General features: G+C 40.3%; 1 protein-coding gene and 1 non-coding gene across 63 annotated transcripts in view; both read left to right on the plus strand.

Moving 5' to 3' along the window:
* LARP4 (La ribonucleoprotein 4) overlaps positions 1 to 20,291 on the plus strand; it is a 79,120-nt gene that overhangs the window by 39,245 nt on the left and 19,584 nt on the right. For 41 of the 62 annotated variants that reach the window (XM_047428212.1, XM_047428213.1, NM_001352312.2 and 38 more), the window contains 4 exons: positions 310 to 420; positions 1,461 to 1,514; positions 13,331 to 13,543; positions 14,185 to 14,288. In XM_047428212.1, the coding sequence (XP_047284168.1) occupies positions 310 to 420; positions 1,461 to 1,514; positions 13,331 to 13,543; positions 14,185 to 14,288 (482 nt within the window). Of the gene's footprint in view, positions 1 to 309; positions 421 to 1,460; positions 1,515 to 13,330; positions 13,544 to 14,184; positions 16,300 to 20,291 lie in introns of those variants that run through there. The other 21 variants (NM_001352317.2, NM_001352320.2, NM_001352319.2 and 18 more) reach the window with 4 other exon arrangements.
* Positions 16,442 to 16,657, plus strand: SNORD133 (small nucleolar RNA, C/D box 133). The gene has a single exon (NR_132753.1). It is a non-coding gene; the product is annotated as a small nucleolar RNA, C/D box 133 (small nucleolar RNA).

A 20,291-nucleotide genomic window follows, 5' to 3' on the forward strand; every position in this document is an offset into this window, starting at 1 on the left:
AAATCATGTACAAAATACATCTCCTGGCCAAGTGGAGTGGCTCGTGCCTGTAATCTCAGCACTTTGGAGTGCTCAGGCGGAAGGATCGCTTGCATCCGGGAGTTTGAGACCAGACTCAAATATATCTCCTATTAACTCTGTATTTGTTTTGAAACAGCCCATCCTCAGTGGAAAAATGGGCAAAAGTTAAGTGAAGTGATAGGACCAAAGACATGAAGATAGGCTTAACATTACTAGTAAACAAACCAACAAAAAATGCCAATTATTGATGTATTTTTTAGAGTTAACTAATTTTCTTTTTCTTTTTAGGAAGTGAAAGGTTTGTTCAAAAGTGAAAACTGCCCCAAAGTGATAAGCTGTGAGTTTGCACACAATAGCAACTGGTATATCACTTTCCAGTCAGACACAGATGCACAACAGGTAAGAAGAAAACATTTTCTGATACAAGTCCATCCTAGTGGCAAAATAAGTAGTGGTATATTTTAATTGAGAAAATGTGTGTTTACACTGATGTTTATCAAGACTAGTGAGTACCTTGGTCACCCTTTTGCTTTTGCTCAATTGGTTTCCTTTTTGATCATCTTCCTAAAGTTTTTCAGTTTTGATTTAGGAAGTTTGTTTTCTGTCGATAAGAATATTAACATAACAGTTTTAAAATTAACATAGGGATCGAGAACCATGTACCTAGTGGTATTTTTAGTACATAATAGGTCTGCAATAAACAAAATTCTTGGAATTTTGACTTGATGGTTTTATTCTTTTTTTTTTTTTTGAGACGGAGTCTCACTCTGTCGCCCGGGCTGGAGTGCAGTGGCGCAATCTCGGCTCACTGCAACCTCCACCTCCTGGGTTCAAGTGATTCTCCTGCCTCAGCCTCCCAAGTAGCTGGAATTACAGGCACCCGCCACTACACCCAGCTAATTTTTTGTATTTTTAGTAGAGGTGGGGTTTCACCATATTGGTCAGGCCGGTCTCAAACTCCTGACCTCGTGATTCGCCTGCCTCAGCCTTCCGAAGTGCTGGGATTACAGGCATGAGCCACTGCACCCGGTGATGGTTTTATTCTTAATTGTTAACATGTCTTAAAGAGAAATAATCCTTTGAAACACAAATATATCTATGATAAGGGTGTTTAAAAATCACTCACAGATTTTTATTTTTTAAAACAATTTATTAGAAAGTTGATCATTTTTAAATTGGTTTCTAGGGATATTTTGGGTCTGTTTTCAATCCTAATGCATTTTGTCTGCAGTAATCCATGGTGGCTTTTCTACAATAAATATGAACTGTGATTGAGAAGGCGTTACATTTTTACTTTTTCATTCCCTGTCCACCTGCACAGTGGAATCACCTACATAATTTTGTTTTTATAGTTTAATACTAAACTCTCAACATAATAAAGATAACTTTACTGAAATGTTTGAATGCTAATGAAAGTTTTTTTTGTGCTTTGTTAACAGGCTTTTAAATACTTAAGAGAAGAAGTTAAAACATTTCAGGGCAAGCCAATTATGGTAAGAAATAGAGATCAGTGTGAAACCAGAACAGGTTTTGGTTCTCTGTATGAGAATTTAAAAAATACAGACAGATAATATTTTATAAAAACCCATAGTGACTTTCAAAAAGTTTCTGGCTTGGTCCAGGCGTGGTGGCTCACACCTGTGATCCCAGCACTTTGGGAGTCCAAGGCAGGTGGATAGCATGACGCCAGGAGTTCGAGACCAGCCTTGCCAATATGATGAAACCCCATCTCTACTAAAAATAGAAAAAATTAGCCGGGTGTTGTGGCACACGCCTGTAGTTCCAGATACTTGAGAGGCTGAGGCAGGAGAACTGCTTTAACCCGGGAGGCGTAGGTTGCAGTGAGCAGAGATTGCATCACTGCACTCCAGCCTGGGGGACAGAGCAAGACCTTGTCTCAAAAACAACAACAACAAATTTTCTGGCTTGTATTATGTGCTACTTCAGAAAATCCTTTGATAAGCCATAAAAATACTTTGTGTACAGCAATTCTTTACAAAGGGGTAACTTCAAATAGCATGAGGTTTAATTAGATGCTGATTTACAACATATGAGATAATTCCAGATCTCAAAATGAGCAATAGAAATAATTTTTAGTAACAGATGAAAAATATTCACAGTACTTTCAACCTCATCTCAATTAACTGCATCACTACGTACCATCAATACAACCATTTGGAAACCTAGGCATTGTCACTGATGACACATTTGATCCCTGTCTTTACATGTCTAATCTGTTCTCAGGTCCTGTGAAAATGCTTTCCAAAAATCTCCCATTGTTTAGGCTTGAACACTTGGAGTAGCCTCTTAACTGCTGTGTTACCAGTTTTTCCCCCCCTTAACAATCTGTTCTTCACATTGCTACCAGAGCTAGTGTTCTAAACCATAATCCAGTAACATACACTTAGTTCGACTTGATCCTCATTCCCTGTGTGCTATAGTTATTCTTATTTGTAAATGTAATACATTATTCTTACTAATCCCTCTGTGTTGAACTCTGTGTGTCACTTTCTGTTTTAAGCACTTTACATGTATTGACTCATTTAATCCTTACAGGAACCTAATGAGATAGTGCTTTTGTTTTCTTCAGTTTCCTAGTGAGGATAATAAGACACGAGGGTAACCTACCTAGTTTCACATAACTAGTAAGTGGAAGAACTAGGATAACAGTGACTTACATTTATTAAGAGGTTCTAAGAACTTACCATATTTAAATCTCATAATTGCTGTGAAGTAGGTGGGATTATTAGTTTCCATATTACAGATGAGGCTGTTTTCTAGCTGTCATTCTACTTCCTCTGTCTATGATGTTCTTCTCCCTTTTATCTTTCCCTGCTTTGAGGCTTTTATAAAGATATTCTCCTGAGTCTTCTTAATAGCTTTAAAGTTTTAAAGTATTTCAGAAGTGGGTCTTTGGTATATCTGGAATTAATTTTATATATAGTATAAGATAGGAATCTAGTTCTATTTTTCCCCATATATGGAAAGACATTTATTTCAACACTTAATTTTTTGTCATTTCTATTCTTCTGCAACTTCTGCAGCTATGAGATTTGTTTCAGATTCTCTGTTTTCTTTGAGTTCTGCTTCCCTGAACCAATATGGCTGTTTTGTTTTGTTTTGTTTTGTTTTTGAGACTGGGGTTTCTTTCTCTCTGTCACCTAGGCTCGAGTGCAGGGGCATGATCACGGCTCACTGCTGCCTCGACCTCTCAGGCTCAAGTGATCTTCCCACCTCAGCCTCCCAAGTAGCTGGGACCACAGGTGCACACCATCATGCCTGGCTAATTTTTAAATTTTTGGTAGAGTTGGGGTCTATGTTGCCTAGGCTGGTCTCAAACTCTTGAACTCAAACAGTCCTTCCATCTCAGCCTCCCAAAGTGCTGAGATTACAGATGTGAGCCACCACACCATGATTGCATTCCTGGATATCACTGTTTAATTTAATTTAATTTTATTTTCTTAATTTATTTATTTTTGAAATGGCGTTTCACTCTTACCACCCAGGCTGGAGTGCAGTGGCACAATCTCAGCTCAATGCAACCTCCACCTCCTGGGTTCAAGCGATTCTCCTGCCTCAGCCTCCGGCGTAGCTGGGGTTACAGGTGCCTAACAACCACGCCCAGCTAATTTTTGTATTTTTAGTAGAGACGGGGTTTTGCCATGTTTGCCAAGCTGCTCTCGAACTCCTGACCTCAGGTGATCCACCCACCTCGGCCTCCCAAAGTGCTGGGATTACAGGTGTGAGCCACCTTGCCTGGCCAGATATCACTGTTTTAATTATCATCATTTTATAATATCCTTATTTATTTCTGCTAGTTCTTTGTCCTTGACCCTATTTTTCAGGATTGTGTTGGCTCTTCTTAGATCATTACATTTTCAAACAATTTTAGAATATTTGTCTAGTTCCAACAAACAGCCAAACAAAATCTATAATGGAATTAATGGAATTCTGTTCAATTTATTGGTTAAATTGGGGACAGCTGGTTGTTTTAGCCTACATTATTCATTATTATGGTAACTATTATGTATTTCATTGTTAATTCAATTCATTTTTACTACTTTAAAATAATTTTGGTTGCTTTTTCTTCTTGGTGTCTTACTGATTTTTTTTAATGTTTTAATGTCTACAGATAATCACTATTTTGATTATTCCTTATACCTCCCATTTCTTATTTCTATTGCTTTTGCTGGGGGTCTCAGATATAGTAGTAAAAACACAAATATTTTATTATAAGTAATGTTTTTCTCTGCCATTTTAGTTTTTCTTTATGCTTCTTTTGATGAGCCATCACATAGCAACATAAGTTGCAAGAAAATTCACATTAACTTTTATACCATTTATTAAAATCAAATGACCTAACACCTGGAAAGACAGGTGCAGAAGCAAGGAATGCTATACTCCAATCCTGGTGGTGCTTTCTGCCACCAGCTGTTGTATCTTGAGTATGTCAGGCCAACCTGTAAGGTTCTGGTTTGTTTCTTTGTAGTGTCCATGCTCTTCATTTCTAAAGTTCTGTGATTTAGAAGTGATGACGTTGGAGGAAAGGGACATTAAGTGGATAATGTTTATCCACTCATTTCCTAATTTATTGATGATTTCATTAAGAGGCAGTGCTTCATTCTGTTTCAATTGTGATTTCTATGCCTGAAAATAACTGGTATCAGTTCCTTTCAGCCTAAGGAACTTCCATTGGTGTTTGTTACAGTACCAACCAGCAACGAATTCTCTTAGTTTTTCCTTAACTAAAAATGTCTGGTATTTCACACTCTTTTTTGAGACAGTGTCTTGCTTTATCACCCAGGCTGGAGTGCAGTGGTACAATCTCAATTCATTGCAGCCTCCTCTTGCCTCGCACCCACCCCCGGCCCGAGTTAGCTGCAACTACAGGTGCATGCCACCATGCTCAGCTAATTTTTCTACTTTTTTTGTGGTAGAGACGGAGTTTTGCTGTGTCATCCAGGTTGGTCTCTTAACTCCTGAGGGCAAGCGATCCCCCCACTAAGGCCTCCCAAAGTGTTGGGACTATAGACGTGAGCCACTGCGCCCAGCATTTGTGATGAGTATTTTCCATGGATACAGAATGCAGGGATGACAGCTAAAATTATTTTCCATTCTTTTAAGATACCATTCTGGACTCTTGTTTCTGATGAGATGTTCACCATCATTCACATGGTTCTTCCCCTGTATATGATGTGTCCTTTTTCTTTGCCTGCTGTCAAGATGTTTTATTTTTGGTTTCCAGTAGGTTGGCTATGGTGTGTCTAGTATGCTTTTACTTATTATACTTGGGAAATACTAAACTTCTTGGCTCTGTATGTTGATATTCTTTACTGCATTTGGGGAATTTCCAAATACTTGCCAAAAATTTTTTCTGCCCTCTCTTCTCCTTTCTTTTTTTGGTACTCCAATTTCATATGTTGGACTGATTGATGTCACTGAGATTCTGTTCATTTTTCTTCAACCTATTTTTGTTGTTGTTGTTGTTCTCCAGATTGGATCATTTCTGTGGATTTGGGTTCATCTTCAAGTTCACTGAACTTTTCTTTTGCTGTCCCCAATGTGATAGGACTGTCCAGTGAATATTTTAGATGCTGTATTCTAGAGTTTCCATTTTTCAAAATATTTCTTCTCTCTCTGCTGTGATTTCCCCTTAATTTCAATTTATTAGAAACATAAATGTTATCCATGAATATATGTACTTGTAAGAGCTGTATTAAAACTTTGTCTGCAGTCTGACATCTGGGTCATCTTGGAGTCCTTATTTTCCCTCCCTTTTTTTGATTCTTTTTCACCTGCAGTTCCATGCCCTGAAATATTTCTTTCATTGCCGTTTTCTTTTTTTCTTTTTTCTTTTTTTTTTTTTTTTTGAGACGGAGTCTCGCTCTGTCGCCCAGGCTGGAGTGCAGTGGCACAAACTCGGCTCACTGCAAGCTCCGCCTGCTGGGTTCACGCCATTCTCCTGCCTCAGTCTCCTGAGTAGCTGGGACTACAGGCGCCTGCCATCACGCTTGGCTGATTTATTTTTGTATTTTTTAGTAGAGACGGGGTTTCATCATGTTAGCCAGGATGGTCTCGATTTCCTGACCTCATGATCTGCCCACCTCAGCCTCCCAAAGTGCTGGGATTACAGGTGTGAGCCACCGCGCCTGACCAATTGCTGTTTTCTTGACTAGTGGTCTCTCTCTCTCCCTCTCTCTCTCTCTCTCTCTCTCTCTCTCTCTCTCTCTCTCTCTCTCTCTCTCTCTCTCTCTCTCTCTATATATATATATATATATATTTTTTTTTTTTTTTATAGACGGAGTCTCGCTCTGTTATCCAGGCTGGAGTGCAGTGGCATGATCTTGGCTCACCAAAACCTCTGCCTCCTGGGTTTCAAGCGATTCTCCTGCCTCAGCCTCCCGAGTAGCTGGTACTACAGACGCATGCCACCATGCTTGGCTAATTTTTGTAGTTTTAGTAGAGACAGGGTTTCACTATGTTGGCCAGGCTGGTCTCGAATTCCTGACCTTGTGATCCGCCCGCCTCAGCCCCCCAAAGTACTGGGATTGGAGGCGTGAGCCACCACACCCGGCCTAGTGGACTGTATTTTTAAAATAATGCTGTTTACTTGATTTTAGTTCCTTAGGGGACATTTTAACATTAAAGTGTACTATAATGTATGACATTACTTAGGTAAAAGCAATAGCCATAGTTATTTTTTAGGTCTTGTTAAAATCAGTTTGTCAAGGTTGGCCATAATTGATTTCTTATTGTTTGACTGATTGCAATTTTAGGAGTGGAGGAGGGTTCCTGGCCTATGGCTGTAAGGATCATAAAATGTATCTTTCATACATTCATTGCAGTGGTAATTTTATGCTTTCACATGTGTTATTTCATTTGATATTCCCAGCAACTTGGTGTGCCTTTGGTTTCTAATCTAACCTTCTTATATCTTCATATTATGTAGCTTGAGCATCCCAAATCCTAAATTTGAATTGCTCCAAAATCGAAAAGTTTTTGAGTACTAACATGCTGCTCAGTGGAAATGCTCATTAGAGCCTTTTGGATTTTCGGATTTGGGATACTCAACTGGAAAATACAATGCAAATATTCCTAAATACAAAAAAAGCTGGTACCAAGCATTTTGGGTAAGGCATACTCAGCCTGTGGTTTTATTAAAAGGGTCAGCAAACATTTTCTTTGAAGAGCCAAACAGTAAATATTATAGATGTTGATGGCCATGTAATTCCTGTTGCAGCAACTTGCAGGGCAAAAGCAGCCACAAGCAGTGCATAAAATGGTCTGCTTTATAAATTTACCAAGTGTTAGAGCATTTTTTTCCTTTTTAAAAGTAATATAGGAATTTGAAGCATATAAATTGATAAAATGGTATAATTAGTTACTGTTTACCCATTATCCAATTTTTTCCCCCAGTTTTATTTATTTTATTTTATTTTTTAAAGAGACAGGGTCTCACTTTGTTGCGCAGGCTGGAGTACAGTGTGCGTGATCATAGCACACTGCCACCTTGAACTCCTGGGCTCAAGGGATCCTTCTGCCTTCAGAGTAGCTAATTATTTTGTTTGTTTGTTTGTTTTTGTGGAGACAGGGTCTTGCTGTCTTCCCAGGCTGGTCTCAAACTCCTGACTCAAGTGATCTTCCCACGTTGGTCTCCCAAAGTGTTGTGATTACAGGTGTCAGGCACTGGGCCCAGCTCCGCACCACTCCCCCCCCATTTTTTTCTATTTTTTTTGAGACGGAGTCTTGCCGTGTTGCCCAGGCTGGACTGCAGTGACGCAATCTCAGCACATGGCAACCTCTGCCTCCCAGGTTCAAGGAGTTCTCTGCCTCAGCCTCCCGAGTAGCTGGGATTACAGGCACCTGCCACCACGCCCAGCTAATTTTTGTATTTTTAGTAGAGATGGGGTTTCACCATCTTGGACAGGTTGGTCTTGAATTCCTGACCTTGTGATCCACGCGCCTCGGCCTTCCAAAGTGCTGGGATTACAGGAGTGAGCCACCAGGTCTGGCCCCAGCCCCCAGTTTTAAAATTTTGGCAAAATGGACATACAATATACCATCTTAATTGTTCTTATTTTTGTTTGTTTTATCTTTTTCCCCCCATCTTAACTGTTCTTAAGTGTACAGTTTAGTGCTATTAAATACATTCACAATGATTTGCAGCCATCACTGCCATCTATCTCCAGAACTCTTTTTATAAGACTGAAACTCTATAAATGTTACCCAATTTTAACAGTTAGTAGAAAATGGCCATTGTTTCCTCTATATTCCCACTCATTTCTCTCCACAACCCCAGTCATCTTGAAGCAAATTTCAACCTTAATTTCAGATTTCATCCATAAATAAATTAAGATTTGTATCTCTATCAAGAGGGATTCTTTCCCTTTTTTTGAGACTGCGTCTTGCTCTTATGCCCAGGCTGGAGTGAAGTGTGGTCTTGGCTCACTGCAACCTCTGCCCCACTGGGTTCAAGCAATTTTCCTGCTTCAGCCTCCTGAGTAGCTGGGATTACAGGCACCCACCACCACGCCTGGCTAATTTTTGTATTTTTAGTAGAGACAGGGTTTCACCATGTTGGCCAGGCTGGTCTCAAACTCCTGACCTCAGTTGATCTGCCTGCCTTGGCCTCACAAAGTTCTGGGATTGCAGGCGTGAGCCACTGCACCCAGCCGAGATTCTTTCTTAATACATGACGACAATATCATCATTAGACTTTTAAAAATGAACAATGTCTTGAACATTATCAAGTACCTAGTCACTTTTCATATTTTCCTGATTCCCCTTCTTTCTCGTTTTTTCCTCTTTAAAAATCTGGTCTGGACACTGTGGCTCGTTCCTGTAATTCCAGCACTTTGGCAGGCAGATCACATGAGGCCAGGAGTTCCAGACCAGCATGGCCAACATGGTGAAACCCTGTCTCTACTAAAAATACAAAAATATTTAGCCAGGCTTTGTGGCTTATGCCTGTAGTCCCAGCTACTCGGGAGGCTGAGGCCCGAGAATCATTTGATCCTTGGAGGAGGAGGTTGCAGTGAGCCGAGATCACACCACTGCACCCCCAACATTGGCGGCAGAGCAAGACTGTGTCCAAAAAGAAAGTAAAATAAAAAATAAAAATCTGTAGTTTTTTCCTATAACTTTGTATTTTTTTCTTTTGGAAGTTTATGGGTAAGATAATCATTATCTGTCTTGCAGTGTTTCTTGGAATATAGATTTTGCTGCCTTTATTCTTGAGTGCAGTTTAACATGATTCTCTGTCCTTTCTCTCCTGTTTTTCATGCAAATTGGTCGCTAGATCTTTTTTTCTTTTTCTGTTTTTTAAAGACATGGCTATCATGGAAAGTAGCTAGATACTGATCTGTCTCCCATATTTCATGCATTTTGGTAGCAAGAGGCATGATGCCTTGCTACCTTGGTAGCAAGGGTTTGATTTTTGGGGCAATAGAGAGGATACAAAAGCTAGCTGCTATGCTCATTGGTCTGTTAATTCATTAGAGATTGCTAAAATTGTGGTATTTCTCTATCTATTTTTCATTTATTAGAAACTCTTACTCATCTTCATTACCCTGAGTTACAGGTTCTATGTGAAATCCATGTTACATGCTTGACTCTGGCTTTTATTACCAGTTTTTAAAAGTGTTGATTTTTTAGCCAATTTTTATCTGTTTTCGGTTTTGAATATTTAAACATATTTGGGGTGTTTACTGTTCGTGTTGATATTGGCCTCTTTGAATTGACTCCTGAGACCTTTTGTTATACAGCCATAGCAATTTTTTTTTTTTTTTTTTTTTTTTTTTTTGAGATGGAGTTTTGCTCTGTTGCCAGACTGGAGTGCAGTGGCACGATCTCAGCTCACTGCAACCTCCGCCTCCTGGGTTCAAGCGATTCCCCTGCCTCAGCCTCCCAAGTAGCTGGGACTACAGGTGTGCACCACCACGCCCAGCTAATTTTTTGTGTTTTTAGTAGAGACATGGTTTCACCATGTTGGCCAGGATGGTCTTGATCTGACCTCGTGATCCGCCCGCCTCAGCCTCCCAAAGTGCTGGGATTACAGGCGTGAGCCACCCTGCCTGGCCAGCCGTAGCAATCTTTACTGGTTACCTTGCTGTGCAGTTTGTCAAGATGTTCCAGGCTCTTACACATTTCATGCCAAAGGACTGGAGTCAACCAGTTCTTTTAAATCCTTAGGCTACTTTATGGGGAAATGGTATTTTGTGGACCACTGCCTAGACACAAGTAGTATTTGTGTCTACTGGTTTTGTCATTGTTTCTAAGCTTTTTTAGACAGAGCTGTTTAGTTTTTATGTTTTAAGACAAAAATGTAGGTTTGTACTGATGCTTACAATTTAAATTCAGGCTGTATGGTTTTCCTTTCTTCTGCCTCATGTCTGTTTCTCCTTTTTCCCATATGAAAATCTCGGAAAAAAATCCGCCTCCTGGGTTCAAGCAATTCTCCTGCTTCAACCTCCCGAGTAGCTGGGATTACAGGTGTGCACCACCATGCCTGGCTAATTTTTTGTATTTTTTTAGTAGAGATGGGATTTCACTATGTTGGCCAGGTTGGTCTTGACTCCTGACCTCAGGTGATCCACCTGTCTTGGCCTCCCAAAGTGCTAGGATTACAGGCATGAGCCATTGTGCCTGGCTGCCTTGTCTCCTGTTAATTTTTTTTTGACTTAATAGTGTATTCTGGAAGTCACTTCATAATGGTGTTTAGAGCATTTTTTCAGTTCTTTTTTACGTTTATGATACTCAGTTGTTTGGATGTACACGTTGTGTTCAACTGGTGATGGACTGTTGGGTTGCTTCTGGGGCCCATAGGTTTCCTCACCTTTTACAATTAGTGTTAGTGAATAGTCACGTGGGTATATTTTTTCCCCACAGCTTTATTAAGTTATTCTAGTTGGCAAATCAAATTGTATACATGCCTTTTTGGTATTGCAAACATTTAAAGTCAGCAATTTTGAATTACATAATACATTATTATTAACTATCATCACCCTGCTCTCCAGAACTTATTTCTTCTAACACAAACTTTATACCCTATGAAACATTTCCCCAGTCCCTGCCTCCCCCTATCCCTAGCTTATGGTAACCACCATTATACTGTCTCTATGAGTTCCACCTTGTTAGATTTCAAATACAAGTGAGATCATGCAGTGTTTGTCTTTATGTGCCTGCCCTATTTCACTTAGCATAATGTCTTCTAGGTTCATTCAGGTTGTCACAAATGACAGGATTTCCTTCTTTAAGACTGAATGGGTCTGGGCATGGTGGCTCATGCCTGTAATCTCAGCACTTTGGGAGGCCAAGGCAGGCGGATCACCTGAGGTCAGGAGTTCAAGACCAGCCTGGCCAACATGGTGAAACCCCATCTCTAGTAAAAATATGAAAATCAAGGCCAGGCGCGGTGGCTCATGCCTGTAATCCTAGCACTTTGGGAGGCTGAGGCGGGTGGATTGCCTGAGCTCAGGAGTTCCAGACCAGCCTGGGCAACAGGGTGAAACCCCGTCTCTACTAACAATACAAAAAAATTTGCTGGGTATGGCTGTATGTGCCTGTAATCCCAGCTACTCTGGAGGCTGAGGCAGGATAATTGCTAGAACCTAGGAGGTGGAGGTTGTGGTGAGCTGAGATCGTGTCATTGCACTTCAGTCTGGGCCACAGAGTGAGACTCTGTGTCTTAAAAAAAATACAAAAATCAGCCGGGCGTGTTGGTGGGTGCCTCTAATCCCAGCTACTCAGGAGGCTGAGGCAGGAAAATCATTTGAACCAGGTGGCGGAGGTTGCAGTGAGCCAAGATTGCACCACTGCACTCCAGCCTGGGCGACAGAGCAAGACTCTGTCTCAAAAAAATAAATAAATAAACAACTGAATGGTATTCCAGTGTGTGTGTACACCACGTTTTCTCCATCGATTCATTTGCTGTGGACACCGGGTTGTTTCCATATGTTAGCCACTATAAGTAATGCTGCAACACAGACAGTAGTGCAGATACCCTTCAGCATACTAATTTCATTTCCTTTGGATATACATAGGGTTGTTGGATCATACGGTACTTCTATTTTTAACTTTTTTTTGACCCAGAGTCTTGCTCTTGCCCAGGCTGGAGTGCGGTGGCACAATTTCAGCTCACTGCAATCTCAGCCTTCCAAGTAGCTGGGATTACAGGCGTGTGCCACCATGCCCAGCTGATTTTTGTGTTTTTGGTAGAGACGGGGTTTCACCATTTTGGCCAGGCTGGTCTGGAATTCATGACCTCAAGTGCTTTGCCCGCCTCAACCTCTCAAAGTGCTGGGATTACAGGCATGAGCCACTGAGCCTGGCCTATTTTTAACTTTTGAGGAATCTCCATACTAGTTTCCATACTGGCTATACTAATTTACCTTCCCAGCAACAGTGTACAAAAGTTCCCTTTTCTCCATATCTTCTCTAACACTTCCTGTTGTTTTTTTTGCTGCACCCATTTTAATAGATGTGAGATGCTATCTTGTGATTTCAACTTACATTTCTTTGATGATTAGTGATTTTGAGCATTTTTACATATGCCTGCATTTCTTTTATGAGTGAGTTTAGCATCTGTTTCATATGTTTAAGAGCCGTTTGCCTTTTTTTGTTCTGTGAACGCTGTTCATAGCATTGTTGGGCCTTTTCATGTCTGTTTTTACAATTCGTGTATTAGAGATACTAGTACCCTTGCCTGTGATGAGCTACAATTTACTGTTTTGACTTAGTTTTTTGGGAGGTTTTTACTCTGCTTGTTGTTGTTGTTTAGAGACAGGGTCTCGCTCTGTTGCCCAGGCTGGAGTGTGGTAGTGCGATCATAGCTCACAGCAGCCTCCAGCTCCTTGGCTCAAGCAGTCCTCCCCACTCTGCCTCCCAAGCAGCTAGGACTACAGGTTGCATGCCACCATGCCCAGCTTTTTTTTTTTTTTTTTCCTTGTAAGGGATGGGTCTCACTGTGGTACCCAGGGTGGCCTCGAACTCCTGGGCTCATGCGATCCTACCCCCTTGACCTCTGAAAGTGCTCAGGTTACAGGTGTGAGCCAGCACACCTGGTTATTTTGACGTGTGTTTGTGTGTGGCGGGGGGGGTTTTACCTTGTTTACTATGGTTTTTATACCATGAAAACGTTTTTATTATTTATTAATTAATTAAAGCTGTCATTTTCTTTTCTTTTGCTCTACTGATTCTACTGTAGGCAGAAATAGTATAGTCATGTAAAATATATGTTAAAATGTAAATTAAATGTATTTTTTAAAATATACACTTAATTCTTTGTTGCTATAATGTGTTCCTCTTCTAGGCAAGGATAAAAGCCATCAATACATTTTTTGCTAAGAATGGTTATCGATTAATGGATTCTAGTATCTATAGTCACCCCATTCAAACTCAAGCACAGTATGCCTCCCCAGTCTTTATGCAGCCTGTATATAATCCTCACCAACAGTACTCGGTCTATAGTATTGTGCCTCAGTCTTGGTCTCCAAATCCTACACCTTACTTTGAAACACCACTGGTAAGTGAGATCCTTACAATAAAATATAATAATATTTTTAATTTGAGCTGAAATTTGAAGAAATCAGTTGGAGTGGGAGCTCATTTATGTTGACATTGATGACTTTTTGGCCTTTATTTTATTTTATTTTTTGTATTTTTCGTAGAGATGGAATTTTGCCATGTTGCCCAGGCTGGTCTCGAACTCCTGTGCTCAGGCAGTCCACCCGCCTCAGCCTCCCAAAATGCTAGGATTACAAGCCACTATGCCCGGCCACTTTTTGGCTTTTAAACAGTGATATGGATATCTAATTCTCCATACCAAATAAATGCATATGACTAAGAGGTGAGCTATTAGAGCGCATAATTTTATTCCATAAAATTTGCTGAGTGAATTGAAAGAAGAGACTGGATAACTTTTGCGTGATTTTAAATGCATTTTAGTGTTGCGAAATGTCAGACCAGACATTCTTTACTAAGTTATGAATTGTTCATAAATCCAGTGGTACTTGAAGTGAATATTGCAGAAATGAATCAGTAAAATATTTTAAGATATTTTTGGCTTGTAAAAGATAAATTCATAAGCTCATTAAGGTTCTTGTGACCCTCACACCAGATTTTACCTTTGCCATTAATATTGTTTAAACATACATTTTTTTCTAGGCTCCCTTTCCCAATGGTAGTTTTGTGAATGGCTTTAATTCGCCAGGATCTTATAAAACAAATGCTGCTGCTATGAATATGGGTCGACCATTCCAAAAAAATCGGTAAGATAAAAACCATAGCTGTAATGTATTTTAAACAATTCCTAATGGATCTTAAGGCATTAATAGCAATGTTTGTTGTCAGGCTCAGTAATAAGGTTTGGTGGATTTTTTGTTTGTTTTGTTTTTACTAAGTGTATATGAACAGTTTAATCTAGAATTCGTAAAAACACTTTGACCTTTGAGTTGGTAATGCATGTAACAGACTTGGGATTCAGATTTTTTTTAATAATAAAAGAGAATAGAAAAAATATTTCATGACACCAGTCTCTGACAAATCTGGTGACTAATTTCCATTTAGTATGTTAAATGGGTAGCATTTTAGAGAATGAATTCTTTGAAGATATAAATGTTGTTAACTGAATTGTGTAATAAATGTTGGGATGTATGTTATTCAGGTTTTTAAAGGATTTTTGAAATGACACCCAAGAACTACAGTGCACAACAGACAGTAGCTAACATTTATTGCACATTTAATATCACAAACTCTGTTCCTAAGGGCTTTACATATTTTATCAGTTACTTTTTTCAGAACCCTTTATAGGTGCACTTATGTCTACTTTACAGATAAGGAATCTGAGATGTAAAATATCATGTCTGAGAACACACAGCTAGTAATTGGTAGAGCTAAGATTTGAACCTAGGCAGTTCAACTCCAAAGCCCGCACTTAAAGCACTATGTTCAGGATAAATTATTAAGAATCATAGAAACTATATGCTATCATAAAGATTGAGATGTATGTCTGAGGTATTTTTCTTTATGTAGACATCAACAGATAATCTCAATATTTGGTGTATGTTATGGCTTGTTGTTGTTGTTGTTGTGGGGGTAGAGACAGGGTCTGTTTATGTTGCCTGGGACGACTGGTCTTGAACTCCTGGGCTCAAAGCAGTCCTCCCACCTTGGCCTCCCAAATTGCTAGGATTACAGGCGTGATACTATGGCTTTTAACACAGTATGAGTAACCAAAGAATAAAGGACTGACATATAGTCATTTCGATTTATTTAATAGTTTCACATTTATTACTTCTCGTTTGCTGTTTTGTGAGACTCTTGGTTTTTGAGGGTTTTTCCTAATGGTTTATTTTCAGTGACAGTCTTTTGCCAGATTCGATTCTTCTAATTATTTCTTTTGGAAAGGAGACCATCTGGAGTATGTTTTTCCAAGATGACTTCTAGGAACTTAGTCCTTTTTTGACAGGTTTTTCTGAAACTTGTTTTACTGGAGAAATGAGCCCCAACAGAATGAAAAAATATTCTTCTCACTGGAAACATTGTGTACTACTCTTTAATAGTCAGAGTTTTTGGACTATTCTTGACAGACACAATTGGTTAAAGCAATTGAAGATCATTTTCAAGTGTTAGAAAAATTTTACTACTAAACATAAACACAGGCTGAGGTGGGTGGATCATCTGAGCTCAGGAGTTCAAGAGCAGCCTGGGCAATATGACGAAACATCATCTCTACCAAAAATACAAAAATTAGCTGGGCGTGGTGGTGTAGTGCATGCCTGAAGTCCCAACTACTCAGGAGGCTGAGGAACGAGAATTGCTTGAGCCTGAGAAGCACAGGTTGCAGTGAGCCGAGATCATACCACTGCACTCCAGCCTGGGTGACGGTGAGACTCTGTTATTCCCTGCAGCCACGCCCTCTCACCCCTCCCCGCTCCCCCCTCCAAAAAATAAAGGTACTGATATTTGCAGTTGCTTGACTCTGAAATACTTTACTTGGCTCCATGGTTATTTCTTTATTGTTACCTTTTATCCGTTGCATCTTTTTGGTGACAGCCAGGAATGACAGTCAAGTTATCTTTACTTATAAGGAAGTATACCTATGGTTTTGAAAATACATGGTGTGTTTAGTACATTTTTGCATGTTACTTAAAACCACTTGTGTACAGTTCTTTTCCATATATTTGACCAATACAGGTTGGTAATTTTTAATTACAGAAATAATTAGTGAATACTTTTTCTAAAAATGCAAATAAAGACCTTCTGGACCAGCAACCCAAATCCTTGTTTCCTTCTTGCTTCTAAAAAGTGACTACTTCTAAAAAGTGACTACTGCCAGGCATTTATTATTATTATTAATGTTAACAGCTAAGGACAAAGTCTTTTTTAGAGAGCCTTTTGCAATTTTTATATTAACCTGTGACAGCCCAGTGATGATCACTATTCCTACTTAGAGAGAATAGGACTAACTTTCAGAAATCCAGGCATTTTTCTACCTTTCATACTATCTTTCTTTCACTTTACTTCTCTTTTCTGTCTTTTATCACTTCTTTCTTTCTTCATTCTTTCTCTCTTTTGCCTGGATCGAGATTGTTAAGTCCCTCTCAGTGAAGGGTAAGATTATGAGATCTGAGGGCTGTATAAATGTAGTAAGTTGTCCCTTAAGCATATTGAAATGTAGTGTGAAAGTTGGATGAAGGACATTTTCTAAACATATGCAAATACCATATCTATCATATCAGTTCATTTTCAAGATGTAACAGGTAATATAAATTTTTTTTTTTGAGACGGAGTCGTGCTCTGTCACCGGGCTGTAGTGTAGTGGTGCAGTCTCTGCTTACTGCAACCTCTGCTTCCCGAGTTCAAGCAATTCTCTGGCCTCAGCCTTCTGAGTAGCTGGGACTACAGGCATGTGCTAGCTAATTGTTGTATTTTTAGTAGAGACGGGGTTTCATCATGTTGGCCAGGATGGTCTCAATCTCTTGACCTCGTGATCCACCCAGCTTGGCCTCCCAAAGTCCTGGGATTACAGGCATGAGCCACCATACCCGGCCTTTTTTTTTTTTTTTTTTTTTAAAGACGGAGTTTTGCTCTTGTTGTCCAGGCTGGAGTGCAATGGCGGGATCTCGGCTCACTGCAACGTCCGTCTCCCGGGTTCAAGCGATACTCCTGCCTTAGCCTTCCAATTAGCTGAGATTACAGACGCATGCCACCACGCCCAGCTAATTTTTTGTATTTTAGTAGAAACTGGGTTTCACCATGTTGGCCAGGCTGGTCTCGAACTCCTGACCTCAGGTGATCTACCCGCCTTGGCCTCCCAGAGTGCTGGCATTATAGGTGTGAGCCACCGCATCTGGCCTAACTATTTTTAAAATTACTTTTTATAGCCAGTGGGGTGGCTCATGCCTATATTCCCCACACATTGAGAAGCCAAGGCAGGCAGATCACTTGATCTCATGAGTTGGAGACCAACCTAGGCAACAGAGTGAAACCTCGTCTCTACTGACAATATAAAAATTAGCCAGGCATACTGGTGTGCACCTGTAGTCCCTGCTACTTGGGAGACTGAGGTGGGAGGATAGCTTGAGCCCAGGAGGCAGAGGTTGTAATGAGCTGAGATCGCACCACCTCGCTCCAGCCTGGGTGACACAGCCAGACCTTTCTCAAAAAAAAAAAAAATTACTTTTTGTTAAGTGACATACTATTTTCATTGCTATTTAAGAAATCTAGTTTGTAATATAAAGTAATTCTATGGCAAAGTGTCACTTTATGTGAAACTCAACCCAACTTTTTTTTTTTTTTTTAAGACAGTGTTTTGCCCTGTCACCCAGGCTGTAGTGCAGTAACATGATCATGGCTCACTGTAGTTTTGACCTCCCAGGCCCAATCAATTCTCCACCTCAGCCTTCCTAGTAGCTGGGACTACAGGCGCATACCACCATGCCTAGCTAAGTTTTTGTATTTTTTTTTTTGTAAAGACAGGGTTTTGCCATGTTGTGCAGGCTGGTCTCAAACTCCTGGGCTCCAATGATCCTCCCACCTCAGCCTCTTAAAGTGCTGGGGTTACAGATATGAGCCACTGAGCCCACTGCGCCCAGCCTGATAATTTTATCTTTGTTTTTGTTTGTTTGTTTTTGTTTTTTGTTTGTTTTTGTATTTTTAGTTAGAGACAGAGGGTTTCACCATGTTGGCCAGGGTGGTCTTGATCTCTTGACCTCGTGATGCACCCGCCTTGGCCTCCCAAAGTGCTGGGATTACAGGTGTGAGCCACCACACCCAGCTACTTTAAGTTTTAATAATGGTAATTTTTTATGGTCTGTAAAGAATAAAACAGGACAACTAGAGATGCTGTGGGAATTTACGTTTAATTGGTGGGGTTATAATTATTCAAGAGGTTTTAAATCCTTATTCCTAGAGTCAGGAATTGGCAACATGTGATTTATATTGTTGGTTTATAACTATGAAAATAGATTACAAAAACTGAGATATATAAACTGCAAATAATGGGCCAAACATAAATCTCACTCTTCTTAATCTGTAGATCCAAGATCCTCAGTTGCTTGAGATTTTAGGTGTTTTTGCTACTGATTAAACTACATTCTTTTTATATTAGTCAACCTTAGCTTCATCTGTTGTAAGCTTTTAGGAAGTTGGGTGCTTATACCCATCATCCAAGATAAAAACTCCCTTTGTTAAAAGCAGATTGGTTGGTTTAACCACATTGCATACCTTAATTCATGCAGTCATGCCATGCTATTGGGTGCATTGGTATTTTCCTAGTTTGCTGTCCTACATATGGATCTTTTGATAAATCTCATTTGGTGATGGATGTTTAGTAAGATGCTAGGTTTTGTTTGTTTTGTTTTTTGAGACGGAGTTTTGTTTTTGTTGCCCAGGCTGGAGTGCAATGGTGTGATCTTGGCTCCCTGCAAACTCCACCTCCTGGGTTCAAGAGATTCTCCTGCCTCAGCCTCCTGAATAGCTGGGATTACAGGTGTTTGCCACCATGCCAGGCTAATTTTTGTATTTTTAGTAGAGATGGGGATTCACCATGTTAGCCAGGCTGGTCTAGAACTCCTGACCTCAGGTGATCTGCCCGTCTCCACTTCCCAAAGTTCTGGGATTACAGGCGTGAGCCACCATGCCCGGCTGAGGCTAGGATTTTAATTATATTCCAATATTTCTTACTCTCTTCATTATTACTCCCCTAAACAGCCTTTTTAGGCATTTTCCTCCTAGTTTCTGCCTGTGAAAATTTACTACTACAGATTATTGTATGTCTGTATGTATGTAATGTATGTATCTGTGCTTTATACATAAAATGATTACTTTTTGCCCTTCCTTCGCCCCCGTTTTTACTCCCATTAGCGTGGTTTTGCTTCCATTAAGAATGCATAGCTGGGCCTGGTGGCTCACACCTGTAATCCCAGCACTCTGGGAGGCCGAGGTGAGCAGATCACCAGGTCAGGAGATCGAGACCATCGTGGCCAACATGGTGAAACCCCATCTCTACTAAAAATACAAAAATTATCTAGGTGTGGTGGCACGTGCCTATAGTCCCAGCTACTCGGGAGGCTGAGGCAGGAGAATCTCTTGAACCCGGGAGGCGGAGGTTGCAGTGACCTGAGATCGCGCCATTGCACTCCAGCCTGGCGACAGAGCAAGACTCCGTATCAAAAAAAAAAAAAAAAAAAAAAAAGGGTGTTATAGGCCAGGTGTGATGGCTCATGCCTGTAATCCCGACACTTTGGGAGGCCAAGGTGGGCGGTTCACGAGGTCAAGAGTTCAAGACCAGCCTGGCCAACATGGCAAAACCCTGTCTCTACTGAAAATACAAAATTAGCCGGGTGTGGTGGCATATGCCTGTAGTCCAGCTACTTGGGAGGCTGAGGCAGGAGAATCGCTTGCATCTGGGAGGCAGAGGTTGCAGTGAGCCGAGATTGCACCACTGCGCTCCAGCCCGGGCAACAGAGCAAGACTCCATCTCACCAAAAAAAAAAAAAAGAAGAAGAAGAATGCATTGCATAGACTCATAAGCTTAAAACCTGGCTGATTTAAACATGTCGAGAGTGCCTCCAGTGACATTAGCTAAAATCCTAATTCTGAGTATTAAGGTAGAAGTAAGTTTCTTTCAAAGAACTTTGGATTTTCCCCCGTCTCTCCAAACACAACTTAAAATATATGTATATTATTGTCTTAGAGATAGGGTTTTCTCTGATGCCTGTGCATGAATTCAGTTGTGCAATCATAGCTCGCTGCAGCCTCAAACTCCT

Source organism: Homo sapiens, chromosome 12, assembly GCF_000001405.40.
Source record: "Homo sapiens chromosome 12, GRCh38.p14 Primary Assembly".
In the NCBI taxonomy this organism is placed as follows: domain Eukaryota; kingdom Metazoa; phylum Chordata; class Mammalia; order Primates; family Hominidae; genus Homo; species Homo sapiens.